The sequence below is a fragment of the Homo sapiens genome, chromosome 10, assembly GCF_000001405.40.
Source record: "Homo sapiens chromosome 10, GRCh38.p14 Primary Assembly".
NCBI classification, from domain to species: domain Eukaryota; kingdom Metazoa; phylum Chordata; class Mammalia; order Primates; family Hominidae; genus Homo; species Homo sapiens.
Genome location: NC_000010.11, coordinates 30,690,294 through 30,717,621, shown reverse-complemented (window position 1 = coordinate 30,717,621; position 27,328 = coordinate 30,690,294). Strand labels below are relative to the sequence as shown.

Here is a 27,328-nt window from a genome sequence, read left to right as displayed (position 1 = left end):
ACAAACTATCAAAATAACATTTTATAAAGAGAACTGCTTCAAAAAAAAAAAAGCATTGTCTAGCTGGAAGAAGAAGGCACTGCTATCTATAGCAGCTGCGGCTTAAGTGCACATAACATACTCTTATCAATTCTGATAATCTGCTGAATGGTGGAAAGAAGTTTCCAAATAGTTCCCTTGAACATTTACAAAATACACAACTCCGGGACAAGCAGTATGTTTAACAATGTCAGGTTCTGAAAACTCTGATTGAAAAATACTTTGTGAAAAACACCAGTCCAAAAATATATATCCATTTCCCTGGTGCGGTGGTGTTGGACATGACCGTGAGGCTCCTCTGGCGTCTCCCTACTCAGAACAGGCCTTTTGCTTTCTTCAGGTTCACCTGCTTCCAGGCAGGCAGGGCATTGTATTCGTCCCTCATCATGTCTAGTGCAAACTGGAAACATTGGGAGAAGCGCCCCGCGACTCAGTGAAAGGAGCCGGGCGGTGTGTGTTGTTTTACTCCCATCTCCAATGCCAGCGGAAGAACCGCTTACCTCGAAGTCTTCGTCGGTGAGATAGATCTCAAGCTTCAGAGGATCGACCCCCTCCGGGAGTGGCCTGGCCAGGAGGTTGGCCAGCAGGTAAATGGTTTTACAGAGCTTGGCTAAGACGTCTTCCACGAGGGTGATCTGATTGGAAACTTCCATGTCCTAGAAAAGAGGAGGGGGCAGAGAGGACAGCTCGTGTCCTAAGTTTGAACTCCTTTTTTTTTTTTGACTGCAGGAAATAATATTTTTATTTTATTATTTTATTTTGTTTTTTATTATACTTTAAGTTCTAGGGTACATGTGCACAACGTGCAGGTTTGTTACATATGTATACATGTGCCATGTTGGTGTGCTGCACCCAGTAACTCGTCATTTACATTAGGTATATCTCCTAATGCTATCCTTTCCCCCTCCGCCCACCCCACAACAAGCCCTGGTGTGTGACGTTCCCCTTCCTGTGTCCAAGTGTTCTAATTGTTGAACTCGTTCTATTAAGTGCTTGCAAACACACAGACCTGTGCCATCTGCACACAGCCTGAGGACACATAGCTCCATGTCACTAAGGAGGAAACGGCTCTGAAAGATAAGGGATTGCCCAAAGCCCTGCAGTTGTCTCGACTTTTAATTTTTTTAATTTTTAAATTTGAAATAAAAAAATATAGTTTGGAGACAAGGTCTCTGTTATTCAGGCTGGAGTTCAGTGGGACTATCATAGCTCACTGCAGCCTCGAACTCCTGGGCTCAAGCGGTCCTCCTGCCTTAGCCTCCCAAGTAGCTGGGACTACACGTGTGCATCACCATGTCCGGCTAATCCATCCATCCTTCCTTCCTTCCTTCCTTCCTTCCTTCCTTCCTTCCTTCCTTCCTTCCTTCTCTCCCTCCCTCCTTCCTTCCTTTCCTCCTTCTTTCCTTCCTTCCTTCCTTTCTTTCTTTCTTTCTTTCTTTCTTTTCTTTCTTCTTTCTTTTTCTTTCTTTCTTCCTTTCTTTTCTTTCTCTCTCTTTCTTGTCTAGCTCTTTCTTTCTTTCTTTCTTTCTTTCTTTCTTTCTCTCTCTCCTTCCTTCCTTCCTTCCTTCCTTCCTTCCTTCCTTCCTTCTTTCTTTCCTTTCTTTCTTTCTTTCTTTTCTTTCTTTCTTTCTTTCTTTCTTTCTTTCTTTCTTTCTTTCTTTCTTTCTTTCTTTCTTCCTTTCTTTCTTTCTTTCTTTCTTCCTTTCTTTCTTTCTTTCTTCTTTTTTCTTTTTTCTTATCAGGTCTTGCTCTGTTGCCCCGGCTGGTCTCAAATTCTTGGCCTCAACTGATCCTCCCTCCTCAGCCTGACAATGCACTGGGATTACAGGTGTGAACCACTGCATTTGGCCCCATTTTATTTTATTTTATTTTTTTAGAGGCAGTGTCTCGTTCTGTCACCAGGCTGGAGTGCAGTGGTGCAATCATAGCCTTGAACTCCTAGGCTCAAGTGATCCTCCCACCTCAGCCTCCTGAGTAGCTGGGCCTGCAGGTGCATGCCACCATGCCTGCCTAATACACTTTTTAAATATTTTGTAGAGATGGAGTCTTGTTTCTCTGACTTTTAGATGTTTTCTCATCTTATCACAGAGTTTCAAACAAATCTTGTCTCAGAACCGCCTCTGGAAAAATGTTTAGGGACTTTCCCATGAGTGAATTACAAACTAAGATTAGTAGACTTTAAGTCTAAACACCAGAGACCTCCAAATAATGGAATTTGTTTAAAAATATTTTTAAAATAATTAAACTGAAAAGAAATCACACCCTCCTCCCCTCCCCGGCCTCATTTCTTTTTTTCTTTTTTTTTTTTCTTTGTTTTGAGACAGAGTCTCGCTCTGTCACCAGGCTGGAGTGCAGTGGCATGATCTCGGCAATCTCTGCCTCCCAGGTTCAAGCGATTCCCCTGTCTCAGCCTCCTGAGTAGCTGGGACTACAGGTGCCCACCACCATGCCTGGCTAATTTTTTGTATTTTAGTAGAGACAGGGTTTCACCGTGTTAGCCAGGATGGTCTCGATCTCCTGACCTCGTGATCTGCCCGCCTTGGCACCTTCTTAATCCACAATAGAAAAAGAAGGTCAGAAAGTGCATCCAGAATATTTTGGAGCAGAATCAAGTTTGCTTTTCAACCACTGTGTGCATTTAATCTGAACAAGCTATTCTGGGTAAATTATCTTCCTCCATTAAACTTGGGATCCCAGATTGGCTTCTCTCATTTTGGGTGGATGGATGATGGGAATGCATGACTAAGAGCTGTTGCCCAAATCACAAATATATGGGGGAACTAGTGGTCAACAGGCAGGTTTTGGGCTGGGCATGGTGGCTCATGCCTATAATCCCTGTACTTTGGGAGGCCAAGGCAGGAGATTGCTTGAGCCCAGGAGTTTGAGACCAGCCTGGGCAACATAGTGAGACCCCCCCATCTCTACAAAAAATACAAAAATCAGCTGGGTGTGGTGGTGCACACCTATAGTCCCAGCTACTCAGGAGGCTGAGGTGGGAGGATGGTTTGAGCCCAGAAGTTCCAGGCTGCAATGAGCCATGATGGCACCAGTATACTCCAGCCTGGGCAACACAGCAAGACCTCATCTCAAAAAAAAAAAAGAGAGAGAGAGAGAGAGCGAGACAAAGGCAGGTGTTTGAGTGATCCTGCCTGCATCTGAGTACTGACTTCTCCATTCGCTGAAAGTCACTTCATGTTTCTGTGCCTCTGCTCCCGTGCCAGTAAAATGGGAATAATAAGAAGATAGATCTTGATGGACTGTTGTGATAATTAAATGAGAAAATCAGTGTAAAGTGCTTGGAGCTGTGCCTAATGCAGAATCAGCACTTGGTGAATGTTAATTATTTGTATAACTTGCTGGTGTGGGAAGCCTGACTCTTCTCTGGCTGGAATTCCACAGGCCTGCACAACAGTAAATGGCCCTGCTGCCAACCCCCAGGATCTATAGTGAATACACAGAGAGGATGGTGCGTTACATCCTTCTGAAACTGGCTAAACTGTCCCACAGAACTGATGTTTATGGTTTCTTCGAATAAACATCAAAAATTTGACTCTCCCAGTCTTGAAACTTGAGAAAGTTATATTTGTCTTATCTGAGTTCCTTTCTCAGGAAACCAACCATCAGGCTTCTCTGATAGTATCAGAAAGCCAACAGTGTAATCCTAGCACTTTGGAAAGCCAGCCTGTAATCCTAGCATTTTGGAAGGCTGAGGCCAACAGATGACTTGAGTCCAGGAGTTCAAGACCAGCCTGAGCAACATGGCAAAACGTCACTGAAAATACAAAATTAGCTGGGCATTGTGGTGTGTGCTTGTAGTCCCAGCTACTTGGGAGGCTGATGTGGGAGGACTGATTGAGCCTGGAAGGTGGAGGCTGCAGTGAGCTGTGATTGTGGCACTGCACTTCAGCCTGGGCTGGAAAAGAAAAGAAAAGAAAAGAAAAAAAAGGAAATGGAAGCTTACCAGGCCCCTCACCCACCATGATGCCTAACTGACTCCCTGCTTCCTGTTGACCACCTCCTCTTCCTCAACCCTCCTTCATTCCTGTTTTCCCACATATGGTTACATTTATTCCCTGCTATAAAAAACCCTAATTTTAGTCGGTCAGAGACACAAATTTGAGACTATAAAATATACTTGGGTCATTTCCCCAATCAAAGCAGCTCTCTTACATGGTAAAAAAAAATCAAAACAGAAAAACCCCATCTCCCATCAAACCAAAATAAATCCTTGGAACTGCTATTCCTAGCAATGTTAATAGCTCATATATAAGAAATTCAACATCGTTATAGGAAACTTCTTTTCTGTGTGGTTGGAAAACATTCTGGATAACAATATATTTTGGTAGATAGAAGTTATGATAAATGCCTCATGCAGAAATACCAGGTGGTCTCATAAAAGACAATATTAATGAGATGTTGAGTGATCCCTTATCATAAGGGAGTCGCAGCACCTCCATTCATTCAGTTTTCTGAACATACTAATTCATCAGATTTCATTTGTGTCTCCTCTACACAAGGTTAACGTCTGAAACATGAGGGTTTGGTTGTGCGTCACATGGACACTGAGAGACAAGCAATGCCAAGCAACAGGTTCTTAGCAAAGAGAATGAAGAGTTCGCAGCTTTTATGTACACATACAGCCCTCAGCATGATTCAACTCACCTTTGCTTTTAAGTTTTTTAAATTTGGGTATACTGTGTAGAAAATTACTAAAATAGTTCAATTGATTTCCCATTCGACTTCTCTTCTTACTAAGTGAATTCTATGACATGTTATCATGTTGCAAAATAAATATTTTCCCACTTGGAAAGTGCAATTGGATGCTCTCCCCAAAGTAAAGTCAACCCACAATCCAAAAGGCACAGGAGCCACCTTCATATGGCAGGAAAGCGTGCTCACCATCTCTGTGATCTCAGCAGTGTCGTCTCTGTGCTCCCAGCTAGGAAACATATTGGTGAATGTTAGGGGCTCCAGACCAGCATGGATAAGGTAAGACTTGGGGACTGGCTTCTTGAGATTTTTTTCCTGTAGTTACACAGAATGCAATGTCAGTAGACCCAAGGGAGACACTGTCTTTCGCTGATTTCCCTTGAAATCTTTTCTTCTTTGCCAGAACTCATGACTTCATGCTTAAAATGCAAGTTACGAGTAGTTCATAACAACACATGGATAATGTTTATATAAGATGTTAGTTTCATGCCTGTGACTACAATAGTGATCTATAATCAACCTGAGTCTATACTTCTTGAACCTAACAAAACGCTGTGTATTCCTGGAAGGGAGAGAGAGGCTCTATCTGCAGCTTCTGGGTGGAGCATTTTCTTCCTCCTGAATTCACCTGTAGAGTCATCTGTCTGCCTTCCTACCATGGGATTAACTCCAATATGACTGACAGCAAACGACAGCATCTTATACATCCACATTCACTATAACATTGGGTGGAAGGTTTCATATGTTATTTATTGCTAAAGAGTTTTTCAGGAAGATAATCAATTGCACATACTCAGTGATATTAAACTAATTGTATCAATGAAAACATAAAAATGTGATAAGATATTAATTACTGGTATTTTCACTTTACATAAAAGACCAGAAATTTCATGCGGATGGCATACGAAAAACTACAAACTTAATATGGGTCTTTCTTTTAGGATATAATACTAAAAATAATAATAAATAATAAAAAGGTTGGCAATGGCCATTCACCATTTGGGGGAAACTTCCATTCTCCAACAGCATGGTAGAGCTTGCAGATAATGTACATGGCAGAGACCAACTTGTCTCTCAGTGTAATCAACCCCGAGTACAACAGGGTTTTAATCTGCCTGGGGCATTCCACAATACAGCCTTTATCCTTGAGGGTAACAAGTTAGATGGCCTCATAATATCAGAGAGAAAAACTAGTTCTTCTTCATGCTGGCAGCTGAGAATGCACTAATCTAAAAATTAATATATCTCAAAAAGTTAAAGGGGAAAAAATGGGTTTCATTATCATCTGCCAGGCTTTATAGACACTGGCTGACCCATGCAGAAAGGGAAAAAGGGTCTAGGGCTCCGGGGAGCTGCTGGCGAGGCCTCATCTTTGCAATACTGGAGCATGGTCTCCATCGTGCTCTTTTGGTCAGAGGCACGGCAGATGCGGGCAGAACCAGTGATCTTGTTCTCGATGGGCCACCAGCCTTGCCAGAGGCACACCTCGTGGTGATTGTCAAGGAAAGGCACTGTGAGGGCAGGGACAGAGCCCGACCGTCAGGAGCTCCTTCACGGACACTTCCAGTTCACTCCTCCCCAAACCCAGTGGATGTTGTCCCTCCCCACTGCTGTGTCACAGGGGGAAACCCCCTTGGCTGTCAAACCAGGGGCAAAGGGGCAAACGGAAACCCAGGACACTTAGCCCTTTGAAAGTTCAACTGGGAGAAGCCTGTAGGCAGAGAGAGGTGGTGTCAAGGAGTTGGTCTCTTTCATTCCTCATCCTCCAGGCCCTCCTCCCTTTGCCCCAGCTCAAGCCCCTGGCCCTTCTGGATACTGGCAGGGCTGTGCTAAGAGTGGAAGGGATAATGCATGTGCCACTCAAGGGACTGTTAGCACCACCTATCTCCAAAGAGCACAATCAACACTGGAGCACACATCTCACTGCAGACAGGTCAGTGGCATTCCTGCCCTGCACGTGACTGCTTAGCAGTGAGGTGAGCTCATGGCTCTCTTACAGAGAAATGGGCTTTAAACATCAAAACTGTGGCCAGGAGTCATGGCTCATGCCGGTAATCCCAGTGCTTTGGGAGGCTGAGGAGGAAGGATTGTTTGAGCCCAGGAGTTCAAGACCAGCCTGGGCAACATGGTGAGACCCTATCTCTACAAAAAGAAAAAAAAAATTGCTAGGCGTGGTACATGCCTATAGTCCCAGTTACTCAGAGGCTGAGGTGGGAAGATCACTTGAGCCCAGGAGTTTGAGGCTGCAGTGAGCCATGACTGTGTCACTGCACTCCAGCCTGGATGACAGAGTGAGATCCTATCTCTAAAAAATAAAATAAAATGAAATAAATTGAAAATAAAAATTGTTCTACTGCCTTTTCCTCCTCACTTTTTCTCCTCCTCAAATTGTCAGCCTGACTCTTACTCCAGGTGGCAAAACGCCTCTCACTCTTGCTAGTTGGCTCACAGTGTGTCCTTTCCTGGCATGCATTTCAGGATTCTGTGAAAACCACACTTTAAAAGCCCAGTGGAGGTTGATAACCCGCCCTGAGCCCCAGGATGAAGGGCGTGGGCACAGCCTCTCTTTCTGGTGGCTAAGGTTTTCCAAGCATGACATGTGCACTGGTCAAACTTTCAGTGGTGCCCTGAGATCCCAGTGCAAGGTGAGGTCCCTGGCTGCAGCTCCAGGCTCTTGTAATGTGAGAAGCAACAAACACAAACTGAGAGGCAGCTGACCTTGGCTTCATTGGAGGGTGGGTGGGAGGGGTTGTCAAGCCCAGTCTCTTGTGACTTTCCCAACCAGAATGAGGGCACAGAGCCCTGACCTTGGGATCAGAAGACCTGGGCTGGAGTCTTGGCTCTGCTGCGGAGACTTGGTATGGCAGACCCTGTTCACTGGCTAACTTAGCCGATACCTCAACACCCTTCTCCCTGGCCATTTGCTTTCCCAGGCTCCCTTGCAGCTGGGGTTGGCCATGTGACAAGCTCTGGCCAATGAGACATAAGCAGAAGTCTGCTGGGGGCTTCTGGGAAAACGTCTTTTTTATCTGATTAAAGAGAGAGATGTGGCTATTAAGTTCCCTTTTTTCCTCCACCCTTCTTTCTCTTTCTGTCTTAAATGCAAACATGATGGCTGGAGCAATGGCAGTTGACGGGTGACCATGCAGCAACAAGACTGAGAGGAAGGCTGGGAGAAGAGTGGAGACGCCAGGCCTGCCACTGTGGTGCTTAACCTGTTCTTAGCTGACGTCTTTGGGTGGGTTAAGTAACTGAGCCTTGTTGCTTATGCTATAATGTGTGGCTGATTTCACCCTCCCTCCTTTGGGTTTAGGGGTGAGGATGAAATGAGCTAACATAAGCACATGTTCTGGGTGTGCAGAAGCACATAGAAGGTGTGTCTTCTGCTGCTCAGCATAGCTGCCCCCTGCAGGCCTTACCTGGCTGGGGCACGCTGTATAGATCTTCCTGCAGGAAGGGCATGGAACTGACCACAGAGGGGGCTCGGGCAGGGTACACGAACTCCGTGGCTGCGAAATCCCCAGAGGAGCTGCTGAGGACGAACAGGCGGGGCGCGAAGTTAAAACTTCCGGGATCTTTGAAAGAAAAGAGAACAAAGCTGAAGATATCATGTGCATCAAAGTAAATTCCAGATGAAGAATGAATGTAAAATATGAAATAATTCAAAGCACTGTGGAAACACAGGTAGAATTAATCCGAGCTTCGAGGTGGAGAAGACCTGCTAAATTGTAATAGTAAAAGAACTGGCCGGGCGCGGTGGCTCACGCTTGTAATCCCAGCACTTTGGGAGGCCGAGGCAGGCGGATCATGAGGTCAGGAGTTCGAGACCAGCCTGGCCAACACGGTGAAACCCGTCTCTACTAAAAATACAAAAATTAGCTGGGCATGGTGGCACATGCCTGTAATCCCAGCTACTCAAGAAGCTGAGGCAGGAGAATCACTTGAATCCGGGAGATGGAGGTTGCAGTGAGCCGAGATTGTGCCACTGCACTCCAGCCTGGGCAACAGAATGAGACTCCGTAACAAAACAAACAAACAAACAAACAAGCAAGCAAACAAACAAAAAAAACTGGAGTCTCTGGTTCTATATCACCGCAACTTTTCCTAGCTCCAATCCCATTTCCAACATTACAACTGTATTGAGGTTTGAAGGGAAGAAGAAAACTCATTTAAGTTCCTAAAAGTTCAGGGGTCATTTTTATTTGTTTTTTGGCCATTTGTTTGGTAAAGTATCTGTAACGTAGGTTCCATAAATGATTCTAATAATTTCTTAAAGCATTTTCACTAAAAACAGCCTTTCGTACCATCCACTGTGGATCTGAACTGGCTAAGTTTGTATGTTTTTGAGAGGGCAAAATAAAATAGGAACCATCAATGACTACATTATAAATAACTATAATTAATTTGGAAGCCACTCAACTGAAATTTCTGCTAACTTAGCAAAAAAATTTTGCCTTTGATTAGCAATCCTGTTCCTCAAAGTAGTGAAAATCTGTTGCACCAACTAGATTACTGGGGAAAGGCATGTTTCAAATAGCTCATAACAGTCTATAAAGACCTAGACATTTTTAGCACTCAAATACATTGTGTAAATACACATTTACACTTAAATAACCAATATTACGTCCTAACATTCTAAACAGACTTGACCGTATATACCCAAAATACAACTGTATCTCTTTTTAAAAGTATTTTTATTTTAGAGACAGGGTCTTGCTCTACTGCTCAGGCTGGAGTGTAGTGGTATAACCATAGCTCACTGCAGCCTTGAACTCCTGGGCTCAAGTGATCCTCCTGGCTCAGCCTCCCAAAGCGCTGGGACTACAGGCAGATGCCACTATACTGGGCTGATTTTTTAATTTTTTGTACAGATGGGGTTTTACTGTGCTGCCCAGGGTAGTCTTGAACACCTGGCCTTAAGTGATCCTCCCACCTCAGCTTCCCAAAACTCAGGGATTACAGATGTAAGCCTAGACTTTTATTTCTTTAAAGATATTTTACAAAATGGGCATTTCACTAATTTTCCTTACAGTTTTCCTGCATGTATTGAAATGTAGTCCTATATACAAATTAATTTTTCTTATGTGTATTTATTTTTAATTTTATCAATGTAAATATTCAATTTTCAGTGTGAAGAACTTATGGGGTCATTCTTTTCACAGCCTTGATCAGTTGCCTAATTTAAAGTGTAATACAAAAATTAATGGGGTGTGGTGGCGGGGGCCTGTAATCCCAGCTATTTGGGAGGCCAAGGCAGGGAGAATTGCTTGAACCCAGGAGACAGAGGTTGCAGTGAGCCGAGGTTGCGCCACTGCACTCCAGCCTGGGCAACAGAGTGAGAACCTGTCTCAAAAAAAATAAATAGGGCCGGGCGCGGTGGCTTATGCCTGTAATCCCAGCACTTTGGGAGGCCGAGGCAGGCGGATCACCAGGTCAGGAGATTGAGACCATCCTGGCTAACACGGTGAAACCTCACTTCTCTAAAAATACAAAAAATTAGCCGGGCATGGTGGTGGGCACCTGTAGTCTCAGCTACTCAGGAGGCTGAGGCAGGAGAATGATGTGAACCCAGTAGGTGGAGCTTGCAGTGAGCCGAGATCATGCCACTGCACTCCAGCCTGGGCAACAGAGCGAGACTCTGTCTCAAAATAAATAAATAAATAAATAAATAAATAAATAAATAAATAAAATAATAAAATAAATAAATAAATAAAGTTTGGATATGTTATGCCATCAAAAGAGTTTCAAGAATAAGTTTGGTACCAGTAGGAATAACAGAAAACAGAGATATGAAGACTGCTCGTGGTTAAGTATTCTTGCCCCAGAGCCACCTATTTATAGAAATTAAACCCCTATCACGCCCCGGAGGAGCCTGGCTCAGCATCCCTGAGCACCTCAAGCAGCTGTCTCCTGACCCTGGTGGGGCACGAGCAACCCTACCCTGCAGGCACTGGGCCAGGACATTGACCCTAGCAGGCCGGCCAGCATTGGCCAAGTGGAGGCTGTACCACCTGTGCAGCTGCTGCTTTTGCTGACCCTCTCCCAGAAGTGCACCCTGAGCTCTGACTCAGTCCTGTTTGCAGGTGTGGCCCTTGTGCGCACAAGTGATAGGGGAGCCGGACTAGTGTCACCAAGGGGCCAGAGCTTCCGCGTTGGCTACGGAGTGACTGCAAGTGCCATGGGGCTGTGCTTCCCCCCTGCTGGAGGGATGGTCTGGAATCTGAACGCTCCCTGCTCTATCTTAATTCTCCAAAGCTGGACTTTTTCAAAGTTATAAGTCTGCTGGAAAGAAAGAAAGAGAGAGAGAGAGAGAGAGAGAAAAGAAAAGAAAAGAAAAGAAAAGAAAAGAAAAGAAAAGAAAAGAAAAGAAAAAGAAAGAAAGAAAGAAAGAAAGAAAGAAAGAGAAAGAAAGAGAGGAGGGAGGGAGAGAGAGAGGGAGGGAGAGAGGGAGGGAGGGAAGAAAGGAAGGAAAGAAGAAAGAAAGAAAAGAAGGAAAGAAAGAAGTGAAGAAAGAAAGTGCCTGGGCAACATAGTGAGACCCTGTCAAGGAAGGGAAGGGAAGGGGAGGGGAGCGGAGGGGAGGGGAAGAGGGAGGAAAGGGAGTTCCTCCCACTGGGGGTCCTTGTCTGACACCCCACTACTCCCTGGAAGGAGAGGCTGGAGCTGCCTGGGCCCTGGAAGATCCCCTTCCTGCTGTTTAAGAAGCCCCTGAAGTTTGGTGTGTTCAGCGGCCCAACCTCAAGTCGCCTTGCTGCTGGTTCAACCCTGACCTGCTCCACAGTCTGGTGACTGGGATCTTCGGCCCCTCCTTGTAGCCAAACTCACGGCTCTCCACATCCTGTGCTGGAGCCCCACTCTGACTCCCTGCATGCAGGGTGGGTTAGCAGCACAGTTGGGTTTGAAAAGAGGCAGGCCTGGATGTGAGTGTCCCGCTCCACTCCCTGCTAGCTTGTGGCTTCAGGCAGGTTCCTTGATCTTAAGGTCCTGTTCCTCATCTGAGAAATTAGCATCACAACAGAACAAGTCTCAGGAAACCCAGGAGGCACTCAGCTAGAGGCAGGGTAAAGCCCCCAGCATCGTGCCCTGAGGGGGCAGGGGGACCTCTGGGCCACAGCCCGGCTCTGCACAGCACACAGCCCCACTGGCCGTGTGCTCAGTGAGACCCGCCTGCTGGGTGTTCCTGCACTTGCTTTACATCATGGATAACTGTCTTGGAGACAGGGTCTGAAATCTTTACTTGGTCCCTACAGAAAGTGTCTCCCATAGAGTAGATGCTCAGGAAATGGTGTCAGTTGATGAAACAGATGCATTTTGTATAAATCAGGAAAGAAATCACGTGGTTCCAAGCCTGCAGTTTTCTGATCAGCAAACAGCTGCCTGTGCTTCCTGTGGCCCCGGGGGCAGGTGCACCCGCACAGCAAGGAGGCTGAAAAGAGGTGAAAAAACTCCCTTCTGAATTGAAATCACAGACCTGTGACCTGCATGCTCTCCTAAATGGGAAGGGGTGAGGAGCGCTGTGGGAAAGGCTCCTCCTTGGCAAGGAAAGGGATGATTTCTCCGGAGTTCACCGGACTCCCCCTTTCCCCAGCGCCAAGCATCCGGGTGAGTGTTTTGCAATGGGGTCTGTCACCATCAGGAACCGAGGAGAGTTTAGACTCTGCATTTACTACACCAGACCCACAAAGCACCACCTGTGCTCTCAGTCTCAGGAGAAACAGCCTCTTTCACTTTTCAAATCAATCTTCTGTGCATGTATTTACTATAATGTTACAGCACCATTGGTTCCAGCTTTAAATCACGAAGATATGCTCTACTTAACGACTTTAGTTGAAGCAGCACACAGCCACATGGGAAATACCATTTAGAGGCCAATCATCTCTTTCCCAGAAAATCTCTGGGGACAGGGGCAGGGGAGGGAGAGAGGGAGCTGAGAAGCCTTGATGTGCAAGTTCAATTTCTACAGGTGAACACCAGCGGCCTCGGCAATGCTAGGTTGTTAGGAATTCGGCCTTACTTCTTTTCATCTCTGTGGTTTACTAACTGGCTCTCAAAGGCGTATGACTGCGGTGCCCCACTGCACGCACGCAGCAGAGGGCATGACAGGGTTCATTGGAGAAGCTGGCTCCCGCAGGGCTGCTGGGCTGACCTCTTTCAGCTGGAGAAAGCCATAAGCGCTCACTAACCTGCCGTGCTCACCATGAACTTCCACTTGACCACATAGGCATCCCCCTCGTGGAACTGCCCGATGCTTTGTTTGGGGAGCCTGCTATAGTCAAATTCCAGGATGTACCAGACATCCACGGAGACACTGGTGATCTCAAACTGCCTCCTGTGGTGTCCTTCCACCAGGCCACAGCCACAGCCAATGTTCACCCTGTCCAGGATGGCACCTGCTGTCGTCTGGGGCACGGACACCATCCGTGTCACGTTGTTCCGCTTGACATCGGCCCTGGAGTCTTCCTATAGGGGAACATGAAGACATCGGTTCAGTTGCCTGTTTCCGCAGCTATTCCTTGTCACACTCAACGCTGCTTCAGCTGTTCATGGGACAGCATAAAAATACACCTTCCACACTCTGTCTCAGGATGTTTAACTGCAGTCAGGGAAAGGCTGCATTTTCAGAAAGACTCTGGCAGGTCTGAACACCCATTGGCCACACTGGTGCATGGGGTGCCTGAAAACAGGTGCAAACCCGACTCTTCACCTCCCAGAGTCAGATTAGAATTGGAGGCCAGTCTGCTGTTCTATTAGTGAATCCTGGGAAGGCCTCTTAGCTTTAAGGGGTGTGTGTGTGTGTGTGTGTATGTGTGTCCATTTTTTTTAATTAAAAAAGTATTTTAGTTGACACATTATTATGGATATGATTTGATGTGTTGATAAATGCATCTGTTTCATGGGGAAGGGGGTGTGGGAAGGAGACGGGACAGGGAGGATAGGGAGATGTTGGCCAACAGGTACAAAATGACAATCAGAGAGGAGGAATGAGCTCTGGTTTTCTCCTGCACAGTGGGGTGACTGTTTTCCAATACTGTATTGCATATTTCAAAATAGCTAGAAGAGAAGATTTGAATGTTCTCACCACAAAGAAATGATACATCTGGGGTGACAGCCATGCGAACTATCCTGATTTGATCATTTTACATCAAGGCCACTTTTGTTGGGACCCGAACCAAGCCCTGAGGTTTGAGACTTGGTCACTGGAATACCTTGTGCTGGGCAAGTTCCCCGGGGTTCTTCTCATTTGGTCTTTTCAGTTCTGTCCAATCCAGAAACTTTTCTTTGAACAAAATCGTCTCATTGTGTTCAGTAAGTCTCCCAAATATCGCCCAGTCGGGCCGCCCCTGTCCTTTTCTGTAGGGTGGGAAGGGGGTTGGGAGAACAGACAGGAAAAGAACCAAGATGAAGCCAAGCTTAAACAAAGGAATCTAAAACACATGCGGCTGCTGGAAAAAACCTCAAAGTACGTGAGTACATATAAAATAAATGGTTTATTTTCCTGCATTTTACCAAATACTGACATTTTGTTATTTTAGTCTGAAGTCTTGCAAAGCTTTGTGTCCATGGAGTTTTTGATGTGCCTTAATGTGACATGAACCATGTCAGGACTAGACTTTTCTTACATTCTAGCAAGTTTTTTTTGTTTTTGTTTTTTGTTTTTTTTGAGATAAGGTCTTGCTCCGTTGCCCAGGCTGAAGTGCAGTTGCACAATCATAGCTCCCTGCAGCCTCGAACTCCTGGGCTGCAGTGATCCTCCTGCCTCAGCCTTGCAAATAGCTGGAACTGCAGATGTGTGCCACCATGCCTAGCTAATTTTTTAATAGAGACCAGGTCTCGTTATGTTGCCCAGGCTGTCTTGCACTTCTGGCTTCAAGCAATCCTCCCACCTCAGCCTCCCAAAATGCTGGGACTACAGGTGTGGGCCACTGTACCTGGCCACATTCTAGCAAATTCTTGTCTTTGGGATGCCCTGGGAGTGGCACGCTGGGTGGAGATTTCGGCAATAGCAGGAGCTGTGGGCAAACCTCACTTGTCATCTACTCTGTGCCACCCAGTCACCTGCAAATGCTCACCAAGTTTCCTCCAATTAATTAATAGACGTAGGGAAGAGGTAGCTCCCTCCTCAATTCTCTATTATTTTATTTCATGTTACAACAAAGCTCTCCAGAGTACAGAGATTCTCCCATCACTAAAATGAACACACTTTCATAGATCTTGAAGTGCCTTTTTGTGCACTTATTTCTAGGCCACTGACCAAGACGGCAGATGGGGAGAGCACAGAAAGATAGGAGGTCTTGTGCGGGCTTGGGATTTCAGAATTTGTGCTGTCCCCAAGAACACAGGTAATTTAGAAAAAGGTAGAGCTGAGGGCTGGGTGTGGTAGCTTATGCCTGTAATCCCAGCAGTTTGGGAGGCCGAGGCAGGTGAATCACCTGAGGTCAGGAGTTCAAGACCAGCCTGGCCAACATAGTGAAACCCCGTCTCTACTAAAAATACAAAAATTAGCCAGATGTGGTGGCGGGCACCTGTAATCCCAGCTACTCGGGTGGCTAAGGCAGGAGAATCACTTAAACCCAGGAGGTAGAGGTTGCAGTGAGCCAAGATAGCACCATTGCATTCCAGCCTGGGCGACAAGAATGAGACTCTGTCTCAAAAAAATAAGTTAATTAATTAAAAATTTAAAAAAAGAAAGAAAAAGAAATAAAACAAAAGGTAGAGAAGATATGCGTGCTGCGGAGGGAGTAGCCCTGGAATAATATGCACGATCTTTCATCCCTCCAGACCCATCTTCGGTTGTGAATCTGGCCTGGGATGCAGCCACCTCTTAGAGCAACCCCCGCTGCTGCTTGTGCCCTGCTGTGCTACTGCCTCAGTCACTTCCTGCTTGGTCAAGACCACAGCTGCTGATGTCACAGCTGAGGCACATCAAAAAGGCTGCCTGATTCAAAGAAAGCTGCCGGATAAATCATAGAGCACAGACACTTCTACCTCATGCTCTTATGGGACTTTAGGAACCAAACATAAGCACCTATGGAAAATGCACGGTGGTCTTGAAAGGCTGTGTGGTCTTTATCAGAAAATATCTGAATGACTGTCTCTTATGTCAGTCCTACTCTGCAGGCTTGCTAAGATGATAATTGAAAGGGCTTTTGGTTTCTGCTTTAGAATCTGTCACTTATGTTTTGAAGCGTTGTGAGCAAGCGATGCAGCAGATTGCAGGGTGAGGGGGATGAACCTGGGCCAGAAGCCAGATGTGTTTCTCCACGCACTGCCCTGACCTACAGCCGGAACTGGGCTCAGTGGTTTCAGCCTCATTTGCTAAGAAGGGCTGGGTGCGTAATCTTGGCTGCACCTTAAAATCCCTGGGAGCTTTTAAGACATATTGACACATAAACTGTAACTCACATGAAACGAAAACACATCTCTGGGGCTGGGCTGAGCAAATGCCTTTTTTTTAAAGGCCCCTCAGGTGATTCTGTCTCAGAGATGTTGAAAACCAGTGGGTTAGGAGCTCAGTCATCTACTTTCAGATCTGTGATTATGCCACTATTAAATACAGTTGGCTATCACATAGATTTTTATGCTTTAGCTTGTTTTTTTTTCTCTGCTATACCAAATAAAATCTTTTGAGCTGTTGTAGTTCCAGTCCTTAAAACAACAGTTGTTACCATACTGAGGTTAAACATTAGTGCATTTGCTTAACAAGGACATTAAAACTTCTTACCACACTGACATAATTTTAATGATTTCTATAATAATTAATAAGAAAATCAATAATTGGATTTTAAAGCAGGAAACTAGGCAGGAAAGTTGAAATTCATATACCAGTTCAATGGAAAACATTAAAATGTAGTTGTGTGATGCCCAATATTCTATGCTGTTTGTTGGTTCATTGGTTTCTCATCTATTGTAACAGCACCCATAGTTAAAAAGCACTACTTTTTTTGGTCTGATAGTTAAAAAGACAACAACAATCCTTTGCATGTAAGAATTTTTTTCTCATAATCACAATTTTAGAGTTTGCACATATTCTATTCAATTTCAAAAATAACTTTAAAGAGTCTAGTACCTGCAGGGAATATTACAATTGCAATCATTGTTTTAATACCATCTCCTCTCCCTCTTCCCTTCCCAAAAGGTATAAAGACATAAACATCATCTGCTGCCAAATAAATCCTGGAATTCGAGGGCGATGCTGGGAAGGTATGAAATTAGAGGGAGGCATGTTGCTTTTGCACTTTCAGATCAATGGCTGAATTCCAGACCCGGGGAAGCCTTTCAGATCCGCATGTAATTTGTTTAAACAATTGCTGTTCATCTGCCACAGCAGCACTTGGAATGCCGCAGGGAGGAACTTGCAGCATTTCTTGCTCACTTCAAGAAATCAACTATAACAAACCTCTTCTGGAAGACGACAGCATCCATATTTCTATAATAGTTAGATAAAAGTTAAAGAACTGTTCCTTTTGTGAATATTCACAGTCCACTGCATATAATCGTTTATGAAAACTGAACCCTATAAAGAGCGAGAGTAGAGGACTGTGGTGAGAACAGAGGGATCGAAGGGAATCAGCTCGCTCAGGGAGCCGTCCCAAGGTGGGGGCAGTAGTACCTGCGGATAAGCGGATTGCATTCTCCAGGATCCAGGGGATTAATGTCACAGTTCTCATAGTCAAAGGTTCCATTCCATAAGTGCTTTGCCAGCTGAAATTCTATTTTTCGTTGTGCTAACGTGACTTCTTTCCCATGCCATACGTAAACTTCACTACCAAAATCAAACACCAGTACCTGGGAGAAATGGCACAAAAGAATTTGTTAACTTCAAGAACATGCAACAGTTGAATCAGGTGCAACAGGGTCTCTGTTGACAGTGAGTCAAACGGAGGAAGACAGAAATCCTAATGGGGTGACCAGCACAGACACAAAAAGGCCAGGAGATCTCAGCTGGCACTGCCCCACCGAGCCAGCCTCTGCCCTGTGGGCACGATTCCTCCTCCCAGTGTCCTAAGTGGCCAGGATAATGTTCCCTCCTCTGAACTCTCAACCTGCTTACAACTTGCGATTCACAAGAGTTCTTTAGGTACATCTTCCTGTCGACTTCCTGCCTCTCTCCCCTATTCCTCCCCCTCTCATGTGCTCGTTCATTCACTTAATATATACACAGAGGCCACTTCATATACCCCAGGCACTCATGGTCCAATGGTGTCTTCTCTCCAGTACACAATTCCAAGATCCTTAAGGGCAGGGATCAGATCATGGTGATACATACAGGAGGGGTTGATTACTAAGTGTTTGCTGAATGAATACATGAATGTAATGCTATTTCTTACGTTCATAGTTTGTTTTATTCTTTCTCTTAGAATGATTTCTCCCTTCACTTCCAGCAATTCAAATTTTGCTTAACTCTAAACTTGGCTCAATTTCACTTTCTATTGAAAATTATTCCTGATGATTCCTGTATTTATTTTTCTGTGACGTTTCCCCCATGTAAAAGACCATACATATCACACAGTCAACCTTGCTCCAGATTACATTCCTTCTAATACTCTTCCGCCCAATTAAACTTAAGGGCCTTGCGTGTCTTCCACTTTCTTAATACTTAGCATACTTAACGGTACTGGAAAAGTATATAATTAATAAATATTTACTGGCATGACAGGACAAAAACAGCACATTAATTGGCAAATCCATAAATTATATATATGTATATGCATCTATTATTCCTCAAACTTAAGGACTGAAAAATATTCCATTAATATTTATACAAAATGCAACAGATAGGACTAAGTAACATTTACATTTTGCCTATGATGCTGTCAATGATCCATGCCACCTCTGAACAATATTCTGGATTTCATATTAGCATTTAAGATGTCAGTAAAGGGGTGAAATAACAAATACCCTGGCTGGGCACAGTGGCTCATGCCTGTAATCCCAGCACTTTGAAAGGCTGAGGCGGCTGGATCACGAGGTCAGGAGATCGAGACCATCCTGGCCAACATAGTGAAACCCTGTCTCTACCAAAAATACAAAAATTAGCCAGGCATGGTGGCATGTGCCTGTAGTCCCAACTATTCAGGAGGCTGAGGCAGGAGAATTGCTTGAAGTCGGGAGGTGGAGGTTGCAGTGAGCCGAAATCTTGCCACTGCACTCCAGCCTGGCAACAGAACAAGACTCTGTCTCGGAAAAAAAAAAAAAAAGAAAGAAGGAAAATCCTTTTAAAAAGCTGTAAATGTTCTACAATGGATACTGACACTGGCTAACCTTTATTGGGAACTTACTCTCTAATCTATTGGGCAGCCTGTGCTGAGTGCTTTCAATGTGCTTTCTCATTGAAGGGCAGAGGCCACAGGCTGTACCTCTTTGGGTTGCAGAAGAGAGCACTTTGGAATTTTCCCCCAGTAGTCGTCATCAGGAACAAGTTTGTCATCCATGAGACAGTAAATGCAGTTAGTTTCTATTATGGCTGCTTCATAGAGTTCATCTTCTTTTGGGTCTCCAGCAGCTTGGGGATAAGAACAACAGGAGAGCATCACATTTTACATTGCAAAGTAGCTGGTTTAGAAGAATGAGCTAAGGGAGAAGAAAGGAGATTCAAGTCTTGTCAGTCTCTGAAGTACAATGAAGTCTGACATTGGTAACTGGTTTGGCCACCCAGAAGCTTGCAGAAGTCTTTGGCTGCAAGAGTGTGTATATTAATTCCTTCTTCAATGATTTAGATATAAGTAGCTCTACAATCAAGCTGCAAGTTCTGAGGCCTAAAAAAGAAACGAACACAATTACCTGGGTAGAAAAGCCCTTGGCTAGACAGAGTGGCACATGTCAAAACCAGAGGGAGAAACAGTGTGCCTGCAAGGAAAGCCTTGTGACCACGGGTGTGGGTGGATGCTGGTTACTGGGTATTTTAAATGACCTCAAGAAAATGTAACTGAACGACCAGGGAGTATCAATTCTTTAGAGCAATAGTTCTCCATCTTCAATAGGTCACATATGATGCTTTTAAAAAGCACTATTCTTTGGGCTTTACCCCATGACAGTGTCATTCAATAGGTCTATGGCAGAACTTCAGAACTACCTGGGATAAAGGACTTTAAAGTGGGGCCGCTTCATTTTTTACACAGGAGTAGGAAGGAACCCAGGACCTAAACACTGGGGTGTAGGTCATAGTCCTAAAACATCCCATTTAAACATGTAATGAAAGCTTGTTTGAGAGACATTCAGGAAAAGAAATCCTACCTATCCCTTCTCACTTGAATGCAACACCTGGCTTTTGAGAAGCTTTGTGACTGACGCCAGGAAGAACACTCCACCGGTGTGTAAAGGAGATGTTAGCTAAAGCGTTTTTATTTTTCAGGTACCAACCTTCGCCTTTTCTATGGCGTTTGCGAACTCTCCTACCCACAGGAAGCAGCAGTGGGGAGAGAGCAGGAGGAAGCAGTCCCCACTATTGAGCGCCGAAGCTCGAGGTTCCACCAGCCTGGTCTGCACGTGTCTTCTTCCTGAACACGAGGCAGACACTCACCGTCTTTCCAGACAGAACGGGGATAGGACGCACCCCATATCGGAAGCATCCCTGCTGCGGACGCTTTCACTTCTAGAGTCTTGTCTGCTAATAAGAGTGCCCATGGCCCAGGGTGGCAGCAGGGGGATTTAGAAAGGGCATGATGATGGCACTAGCGGCTGCTTTCCTGGTTTGTGCTTTCCCAAATGTCACCCACTTATCAGGACCATTATCAGTGTCATGTGCGTGGGTTAATGAAGGCTCCCTCTTCCAGGGAGATGAGCACACAGGCTCCTTTTCCCTCCTTCACTCTTCTCCCGGGGCCTTTCTCTCCCCTGGCCACCTCCTGCACCCAATTACATCTGTGGCCCAGGCAAGGGAAGCCATGCCTTCAGGAAGGGTCCGATCTTCCCCTGGGGAGTTTCCACTATGAACCCTAGGGGCCTCTCAACAGGAAGGATGGAGGCGCCACCTTCTGTGGCTTTCAACACCTTTTCCTAAATATTTGTTGATTTTGAGCTTTCCACAATTACACTGATCATGTAGTCTCTGGGTTAGGACTCAGGACAGAGATTGGTTATGTGAGCTTCTCACTAGTCTTTTTAAATACACACAATAGGATAGTGGTTACACAGAAACATGTGGGAAACCCTCCTGGAGGGAGAGGATATTTCCTTCATTCTCATCTCAAGGATTCATCTATACAGTGGCCACCAGGAGGCAGCCGAGTCTCCTCCTCATGGCCCAGAGACCCCTGGTTTGTCTTTGGAATCTCCCTTGCTACGGACAGGAAGGGCACTGGAGCGGAATGCAGGTGGGCTTCATCTTCATCGACCTTCCCTTGATTCCTTCTCCAAGCTGTGTCTTCCTCCCCAGTTCTGTACTGACTCAGGCAGAACTGGGCAGGGAGCAGAGAGCCCCTCTGATGACGTAGGGCACCTCTCGTAACTGCATGGATGTGTGGCTGCCTCGTGGGGCATGGGGCGCCAGGAGTAAAAGCTGGGATTCTGGAGTGGGGGGACCTGGGTTCGAATCCAGCTCTGCCACCCAGTAGCTGCTGGGACCCCAGACACATTCCTGCCTCTGGAAGCCCTGGTGGGCAGAATACTTCCTATGTCATGGGATTTGGGGAAGCTTAAGAGACAGGAGGTTGCATAGCAAGGAACACACAGTAGGTTCTCAAAAAACGTGCGTTCCCTTCCTGGCACATAGGATGAATTACACAGTCAGGACTCCTTACGTGACCAGACAGAAACCACGGGCCCTGAGTCACCGTGCCAGGCTGCTCTGAAATACCTTTAATCTGCAACAGCATCAGCCTCTTGAAGGGCACGGCGCTGTTGTTAGAGTTCTGTTCCGTCAGGTTGACGCTCCGCAGGCTGACGTTGCTGAAGTTTTCTTTACTGGCTAAACCCGCCAGGGTGACTTCTGAGAAGCTGGAGTTGGAAGATACTGGGCGGGTTGAATAAGGAAACACAATGCAGGAGGTTCAGTTACAGTGACAATATTTACAGTCAGAAATTATTCAGAACTGACTCAACACCTTTGTCTTTTCAAGTTAATCCCGAGAGGGAAAACATACTCAAGTTTGATTAAATGTGCAATTCAATACTTAACCACCGCGTTAAGAATTAAATACAGCATTGAAAATATAAACTGCTTGTTGACAAGTGTCACACCGCGCTGTGCAGAGGGACAAGAACTGAGTGATGATGTGGACCAGCTACTTTAGCAGAAAACCAGGAGCTGGATTCACTTGTTGCAATTCCACTGAAAGCTGTTCTAAATCCTAACAACTTTTACATGCCCAAATGTATAGATGCCAGATGACTGTTAGACAGCTTTCACCAAAAGCCTTTATATGTTTAAAAAAAAAAAAGTAGACACTCTGTAAGGGATTATTAGGTTCTAATCTTTTGCTGAAGCAAAGTGATCAACTAGACATTATCTTGAGGTCTCTTGCTCTCAGAGTTGAGATTGTAATTATAAGATGCCAAGTTTTCAGTGCAAACACCTATGGGTCGGTCAGTTATCACTAATCCAACCCCTGAGCCCCCCAAGAGTGGAAGCACAGGAAACACATGTAAGATTTGTGCTAACAAACCTTTATTTCTCCAACTTATTGTTTTTAAAAATGTATATGCTTGAGAGAAATTCAGAACATTTTTCACTGGCATTATGTTTGGAGAAATATGACAATACTTGTCAATTAATTGTGGTGTCGTGATTTTGAAATATGCCGTTTTTTTTGAGAAAGGGTCTGACTCTGTCACCCAGCCTGCAGTGCTGTGATTACAGCTCACTGCAGCCTTGACTTCCCAGGCTTAAGTGATCCTCCTGCCTCTGCCTCCTGATGTGCTGGAATTACAGGTGTGAGCCACCACACTCAGCCTGAAATATACCTTCTTAGTAAACTAGTTATAATGAAAAGACTCAACCACTTCATCTAAATACTATATTTCTAAGAAAAACATTACGAAATAGGTTTATGAGTGTTATGGGAAAATGAAAATTATAGCAAGATTATTCCAAAAATCAAGATTATGCATGCTATCACCTCAAACCAAGAAAAGCACTGTTTCAGAATGATGGAACCCCACATTATTGGGCAGATAAGAGCAGTGTGGCTCAGCCTACAATGAGACTGAGAGTCTGGAGCCTATCTCCTCGCCTCCATTCATTGCCCCCAGCCAGCTCCCTCCAGCCAACATCCCAACTCCAAGAACAGGGTCTTACCAAGAACAATTTGAAAAGCACTGGTGTATGTGTTGATTAATAATATAAAAATCTAGGATTACAGGCTGGGCGTGGTGGCTCACGCCTGTAATCTCAGCACTTTGGGAGCCCAAGGCTGGTGGATCACAAGGTCAAGAGATCGAGACCATCCTGGCCAACATGGTGAAACACCATTTCTACTAAAAATACAAAAATTAGCTGGGCATGGTGGCCTGCGCCTGTAGTCCCAGCTACTAGGGAGGCTGAGGCAGGCGAATTGCTTGAACCTGGGAGGCGGAGGTTGCAGAGAGCCCAGATCGCGCCACTGCACTCCAGCCTGGGCCAACAGAGCAAGACTCTGTCTCAAACAACAACAACAACAACAACAACAACAACAACAACAACAAAATCTAGGATTAGAAATTCCAGTGATTTGAGCTGTTTTACTATAAGAGATCAAATGACTTGCTTTTGAATAAGATTAAATGAAGAATGATTGTGTGTTCAGGATCTACAGATCTGAAAATGGCCAAATTACCATACTCAGAAATATCCATCTCTTCTAACTTCCAGAAAGAAAACTCAACAAAACAGGATAATTCGTAACCAGGCACGGTGGCTCGGGCCTGTAATCCCAGCACGTCGGGAGATCAAGGTGGGAGGATTGTTTGAGGCCAGAGAGTTTGAGATGAGCCTGGGCAACATGATGAGACCCCAGTCTTTAAAAAAAAAAATAAAACAAAAGCCAAACCCCAGGACAATCTGAATTAACCAGTTGAACAGGTGATACACACTTTGAGAATTTCCATGAAAAATATTTAAAGTCTAGGTAAGCGTGCACACGTATGTGCAAACTTACTCCTTTTTACTTCATGAGGGCCTTCTGAGCACCATTATTGGCCTTCACAAGGCAGAAAACCAAGCAATGAGTAAAGCATCGGAAGAAGCCATTCCCAAACACAGAAGCAGGGTGGGGGTTCAAATACTCTCTCTTTTCTACTTTTATCCGCTTTGACTCCATGAAGGCAACGTTTAATCTCTGCTCAGTGTATTCCTGAAGGAGATCTTCTCTTGCCGCCAGCATTTTCAGGGGGTTTTTGGAGGCCTGAACCTGGCGCTTGGGCCTAACTGCCCACTTGTGCTCGGCCACGGAAGACGTCAATCTGCGGATGGAAGCAGAGCCGCGGTCCCGGTCTGTGACACCACCACCCCTGGATGACCTGGGGGTCTTGGACTCCACAAAGTATTTCCTGATTTTGTTACAAATCTTGCAACTCCTCCTCCCACCGCCACTCCCCTCACATGGAGTCATAGATTCTTGGAGATGGAAGAGGGATGCAAGCCCACTGAGTTCAAATCTCAGCCACGCCCAGACGCCCCCACTCACTCCTGCCCCTTGGTCTCCTCCTGGGAGGGTGTGGAGTACTTCCGGGCAGCTCACGGCTCTGCTAGACAGCTCTAGGGTTTAGGGAGCTCTTCCCTCTCCTTACCGCGCCCATGCACACGTCCTAATTCTCACTTTGGAATCATACACCCATGTCTACTTCTCTGTCTCTGGCAAGCCCTTCGGGAATTTGCAGACCATGGCTCCTTGATGTAATCCTTTTCACTTAGACTAAACTTTCTCCCTATGCAATAGCTTTCGGTCCCCTTACTGACCCTCCATGACTAGCTTCCACTCAACTCACTGCCCCCTCTGAAAAATAACCACTTTTTGGAAGAATATATTGAAATAAAATAGGCCCGCAATCATCTGTGACCACCCCACATTCTCACAACTCTTTGGGGTGGAAAATCAGACTAGGGTCGGTGAGCAGACCGAGCGAAGCGATCTCCCAATAGACTCCTGCTGCCACTCTCCACCTCCAGCTGCACGGCCTTCTGTTCCCAAAAGGCCTCTTTACGTACCATGGTGTCATATGTGTGTGTCAATATACATATATGTTTAAATGATGATATACAACTCTTTAAACAGTGACATTGGGTGGGCGGAAGATTGCGAAGTGGTTAAATAGCTATGTATGCAAATACCCAAAATACTATTTTGAGGTGGAAAATGGCAAAGGGTTCATTTTTTAAGATAGGAAATGAAAATATGCAAATTGAAACAAATTGAACAAACTGAAACATGCAAAAAATATCTCAAGAGCAGTTTACAGAAAAACATATGATAAGGGAAGAGACTGTCACTCTGACAATTTCGCAGTTAAGACCAGATGGATGTGGTGGATTGCCGTGGATGGAGCCTGTCTAGCGTGTCTCCCTCTGCTTCTGGTAATAGCATCTGGATTTTCCTTCGGGGAAACCACCTCCCTGCGTCCCCACCGTGGCTCTAGAGGAGACCCAGACACCCGCCTTTACCCAGTCAGCATCTTCTATCCCATTGGCCACAGTGACTGGTTTGGGGATGGACACGGGCTCAATTTGAAGCCAAGAAAATCAAACCTGGAACTTCTGCTGGGACTACTGGGAAGAGAAGCTACCCGTGCTGGGCTGGCCAGGGAGGCAGCCTTGTGACTCCAGAGGTGGGGTGTCCATCTGCCGCCAGGCCACTGCCTAACGGAGAGTGAGGCCAAGGAAAACAGCCAAGACAGACTGTGTTCTGAGGGGCTTTTAGAACCCGAGGCCACTTCCGTACTTTTCAGCGAGTGAGCTAGTAAACCCCGCCTCACTTTTCAGCGAATGAGCCGGAAACCTGCCCCCCAGCACTTTCCAGCGAATGAGCCCGGAAACCTGCCCCCGCACTGTTCGGCAAGTGAGCCAGTAAACCCCTCTCATTTTTCTTTTTGGCTGAAGTCGGTTTGAACTGGGATGGTTTTCTGGCACTTGAAATTGACGGGATCCTAATACCATTATCGCTTTTCCTAGTTGGTTTAGTCATGATCCCGTGGGAAGAGAAACCCTTAGTCATCACTGAGAAAACCCGCAGATCTATTGATTTTGTAAATGATTGGAAGCTAAGTAACATGCCTTACTGATTTTCTAGTGAGCTGTACTAATTTGAGCCCATCTCATCCAAATATTTTGCAAAGTTATGAGTAAGAAATATGTCAAATGAAAGACAGGTGTTGAACTCTCTGCTAAGTGATATAAACATAAAAACTGCAAAACGGTATTCAAATTATGTGAAAAATTCATTGACTCTTTATGGCACAGGACAAGCATCTGTGGCCCACGCGGTCTGCCTGCATGCACATCTGGTCTGCCGTCTGCATGTTTTATCTGCTGCGAGGCTCCGTGCCCCTGGCTCCTGCAACACGGTGCCCTGGCTCTAGAATACTAACGCGGCTGTGATGGAGTTAGAAAGAGAAGGAGGCCACACTGGGGGAAGAGCCTCATGGATGTGCCCTCTGCAGGCGAAGGAAGCCCTTCTCAGTGGAGGAAAGACGGAGACCCAAATAACTCACTTGGGTGCATAAGGATCGAAAATGACATCGAAGTCCTCGTCCAGCTCCACAGGACTTCTCAGCATATTACAATCCACGTTGCGGTAAAATTGGGCAAAGGTTTCGTCATCATCCGGCTTCATCAGCTCCTTCACAGATTTGCCGGTGACAGTGAGCACCGTTTCGTGCATCCCGCCAACTATCAACAAACAAGCAAATGACGTAAGAGTTTTATAAAAACAAGGACTCCAATTATGCTTCACCAATAGTTTAAAAATTCTATTTCCTCCTAAGTTCCAGGAGTGGAAGAAATACGGTTGTGATATACAAGGTCCTGCGGTTGCTTCCCACCTGAACAAATCTGCAGTAAAACGGGAGAGAGGGAGGCTGACCTTACTGCACACAGGAGCCCACTGAACGCTTCTGAACCTGCACTTGCTTCTGTTGAGGGTAGATGAACCAGCCTCAGCCTCATTCTACATGAAGGGCTGGCAAACTTCTTCGGAAAAGGGCCAGCCAGTAAACATTTTAGGCTTTGCATGGGGAGGGGTGACATGGGGCCCGTGTTACAACAACTCCGTTCTGCTGTTGTAATGCAAAAGCTATTGACAATAGTTCACAAATAGGCATGGATGTGTTTCAGTAAAACTTTATTTACAAAAACAGAGCTGGGCATGGTGGCTCACGCTTATAATCTCACCACTTTGGGAGGCTGAGGCTGGAGGATCGCTTGAGCCCAGGAATTCAAGACCAGCCTAAGCAACATAGTGGGACCCCATCTCTCCAAAAACAGAAAAAGAAAAAAAATTAGCCAGGCTTAGGGGTGAACACCCATAGTTGGAGCTACTCAGGAGGCTGAGGTGGGAGGATTGCTTGAGCCCAGGAGTTCAAGGCTGCAGTGAGCTATGATGGCACCACTGCAGTCTAGCCTGGGTGACAGAGCAAGACACTGTCTCTAAAAAACAAACAACAACAAAAA

At 45.5% G+C, this 27,328-nt stretch overlaps 1 pseudogene across 1 annotated transcript, besides 6 other annotated features; it reads right to left on the bottom strand.

Moving 5' to 3' along the window:
• Nucleotides 1–608: 608 nt before the first annotated feature.
• On the bottom strand, nucleotides 609–25,348 carry SVIL2P (supervillin family member 2, pseudogene; annotated as a pseudogene). The gene is made up of 10 exons (NR_036438.1): nucleotides 25,325–25,348; nucleotides 21,545–21,700; nucleotides 20,110–20,246; nucleotides 19,107–19,505; nucleotides 17,360–17,535; nucleotides 13,956–14,100; nucleotides 12,933–13,209; nucleotides 8,169–8,324; nucleotides 4,939–5,064; nucleotides 609–695 (listed from the first exon to the last, which is right to left on the bottom strand). The product of NR_036438.1 is annotated as a supervillin family member 2, pseudogene (transcript).
• Nucleotides 11,857–12,380: an enhancer, noted in NCBI's record as "NANOG-H3K4me1 hESC enhancer chr10:30994171-30994694 (GRCh37/hg19 assembly coordinates)". NCBI's record gives its function as "activates a minimal SCP1, AML or CMV promoter by ChIP-STARR-seq in naive H9 embryonic stem cells {active_cell/tissue: H9 hESC(naive)}" and the evidence as "EXISTENCE:reporter gene assay evidence [ECO:0000049][PMID:30033119]".
• Nucleotides 11,927–11,976: an enhancer, noted in NCBI's record as "active region_3224". NCBI's record gives its function as "activates an Ori minimal core promoter by ATAC-STARR-seq in GM12878 lymphoblastoid cells {active_cell/tissue: GM12878}" and the evidence as "EXISTENCE:reporter gene assay evidence [ECO:0000049][PMID:35858748]".
• Nucleotides 12,497–12,556: an enhancer, noted in NCBI's record as "active region_3223". NCBI's record gives its function as "activates an Ori minimal core promoter by ATAC-STARR-seq in GM12878 lymphoblastoid cells {active_cell/tissue: GM12878}" and the evidence as "EXISTENCE:reporter gene assay evidence [ECO:0000049][PMID:35858748]".
• Nucleotides 15,493–15,542: an enhancer, noted in NCBI's record as "active region_3222". NCBI's record gives its function as "activates an Ori minimal core promoter by ATAC-STARR-seq in GM12878 lymphoblastoid cells {active_cell/tissue: GM12878}" and the evidence as "EXISTENCE:reporter gene assay evidence [ECO:0000049][PMID:35858748]".
• Nucleotides 15,563–15,702: an enhancer, noted in NCBI's record as "active region_3221". NCBI's record gives its function as "activates an Ori minimal core promoter by ATAC-STARR-seq in GM12878 lymphoblastoid cells {active_cell/tissue: GM12878}" and the evidence as "EXISTENCE:reporter gene assay evidence [ECO:0000049][PMID:35858748]".
• Nucleotides 20,794–21,993: an enhancer, noted in NCBI's record as "P300/CBP strongly-dependent group 1 enhancer chr10:30984558-30985757 (GRCh37/hg19 assembly coordinates)". NCBI's record gives its function as "activates an origin of replication core promoter dependent on BRD2, BRD4, P300/CBP, MED14 and CDK7 cofactors, with strong dependence on P300/CBP, by STARR-seq in HCT116 cells {active_cell/tissue: HCT116}" and the evidence as "EXISTENCE:reporter gene assay evidence [ECO:0000049][PMID:35650434]".
• Nucleotides 25,349–27,328: the final 1,980 nt, after the last annotated feature.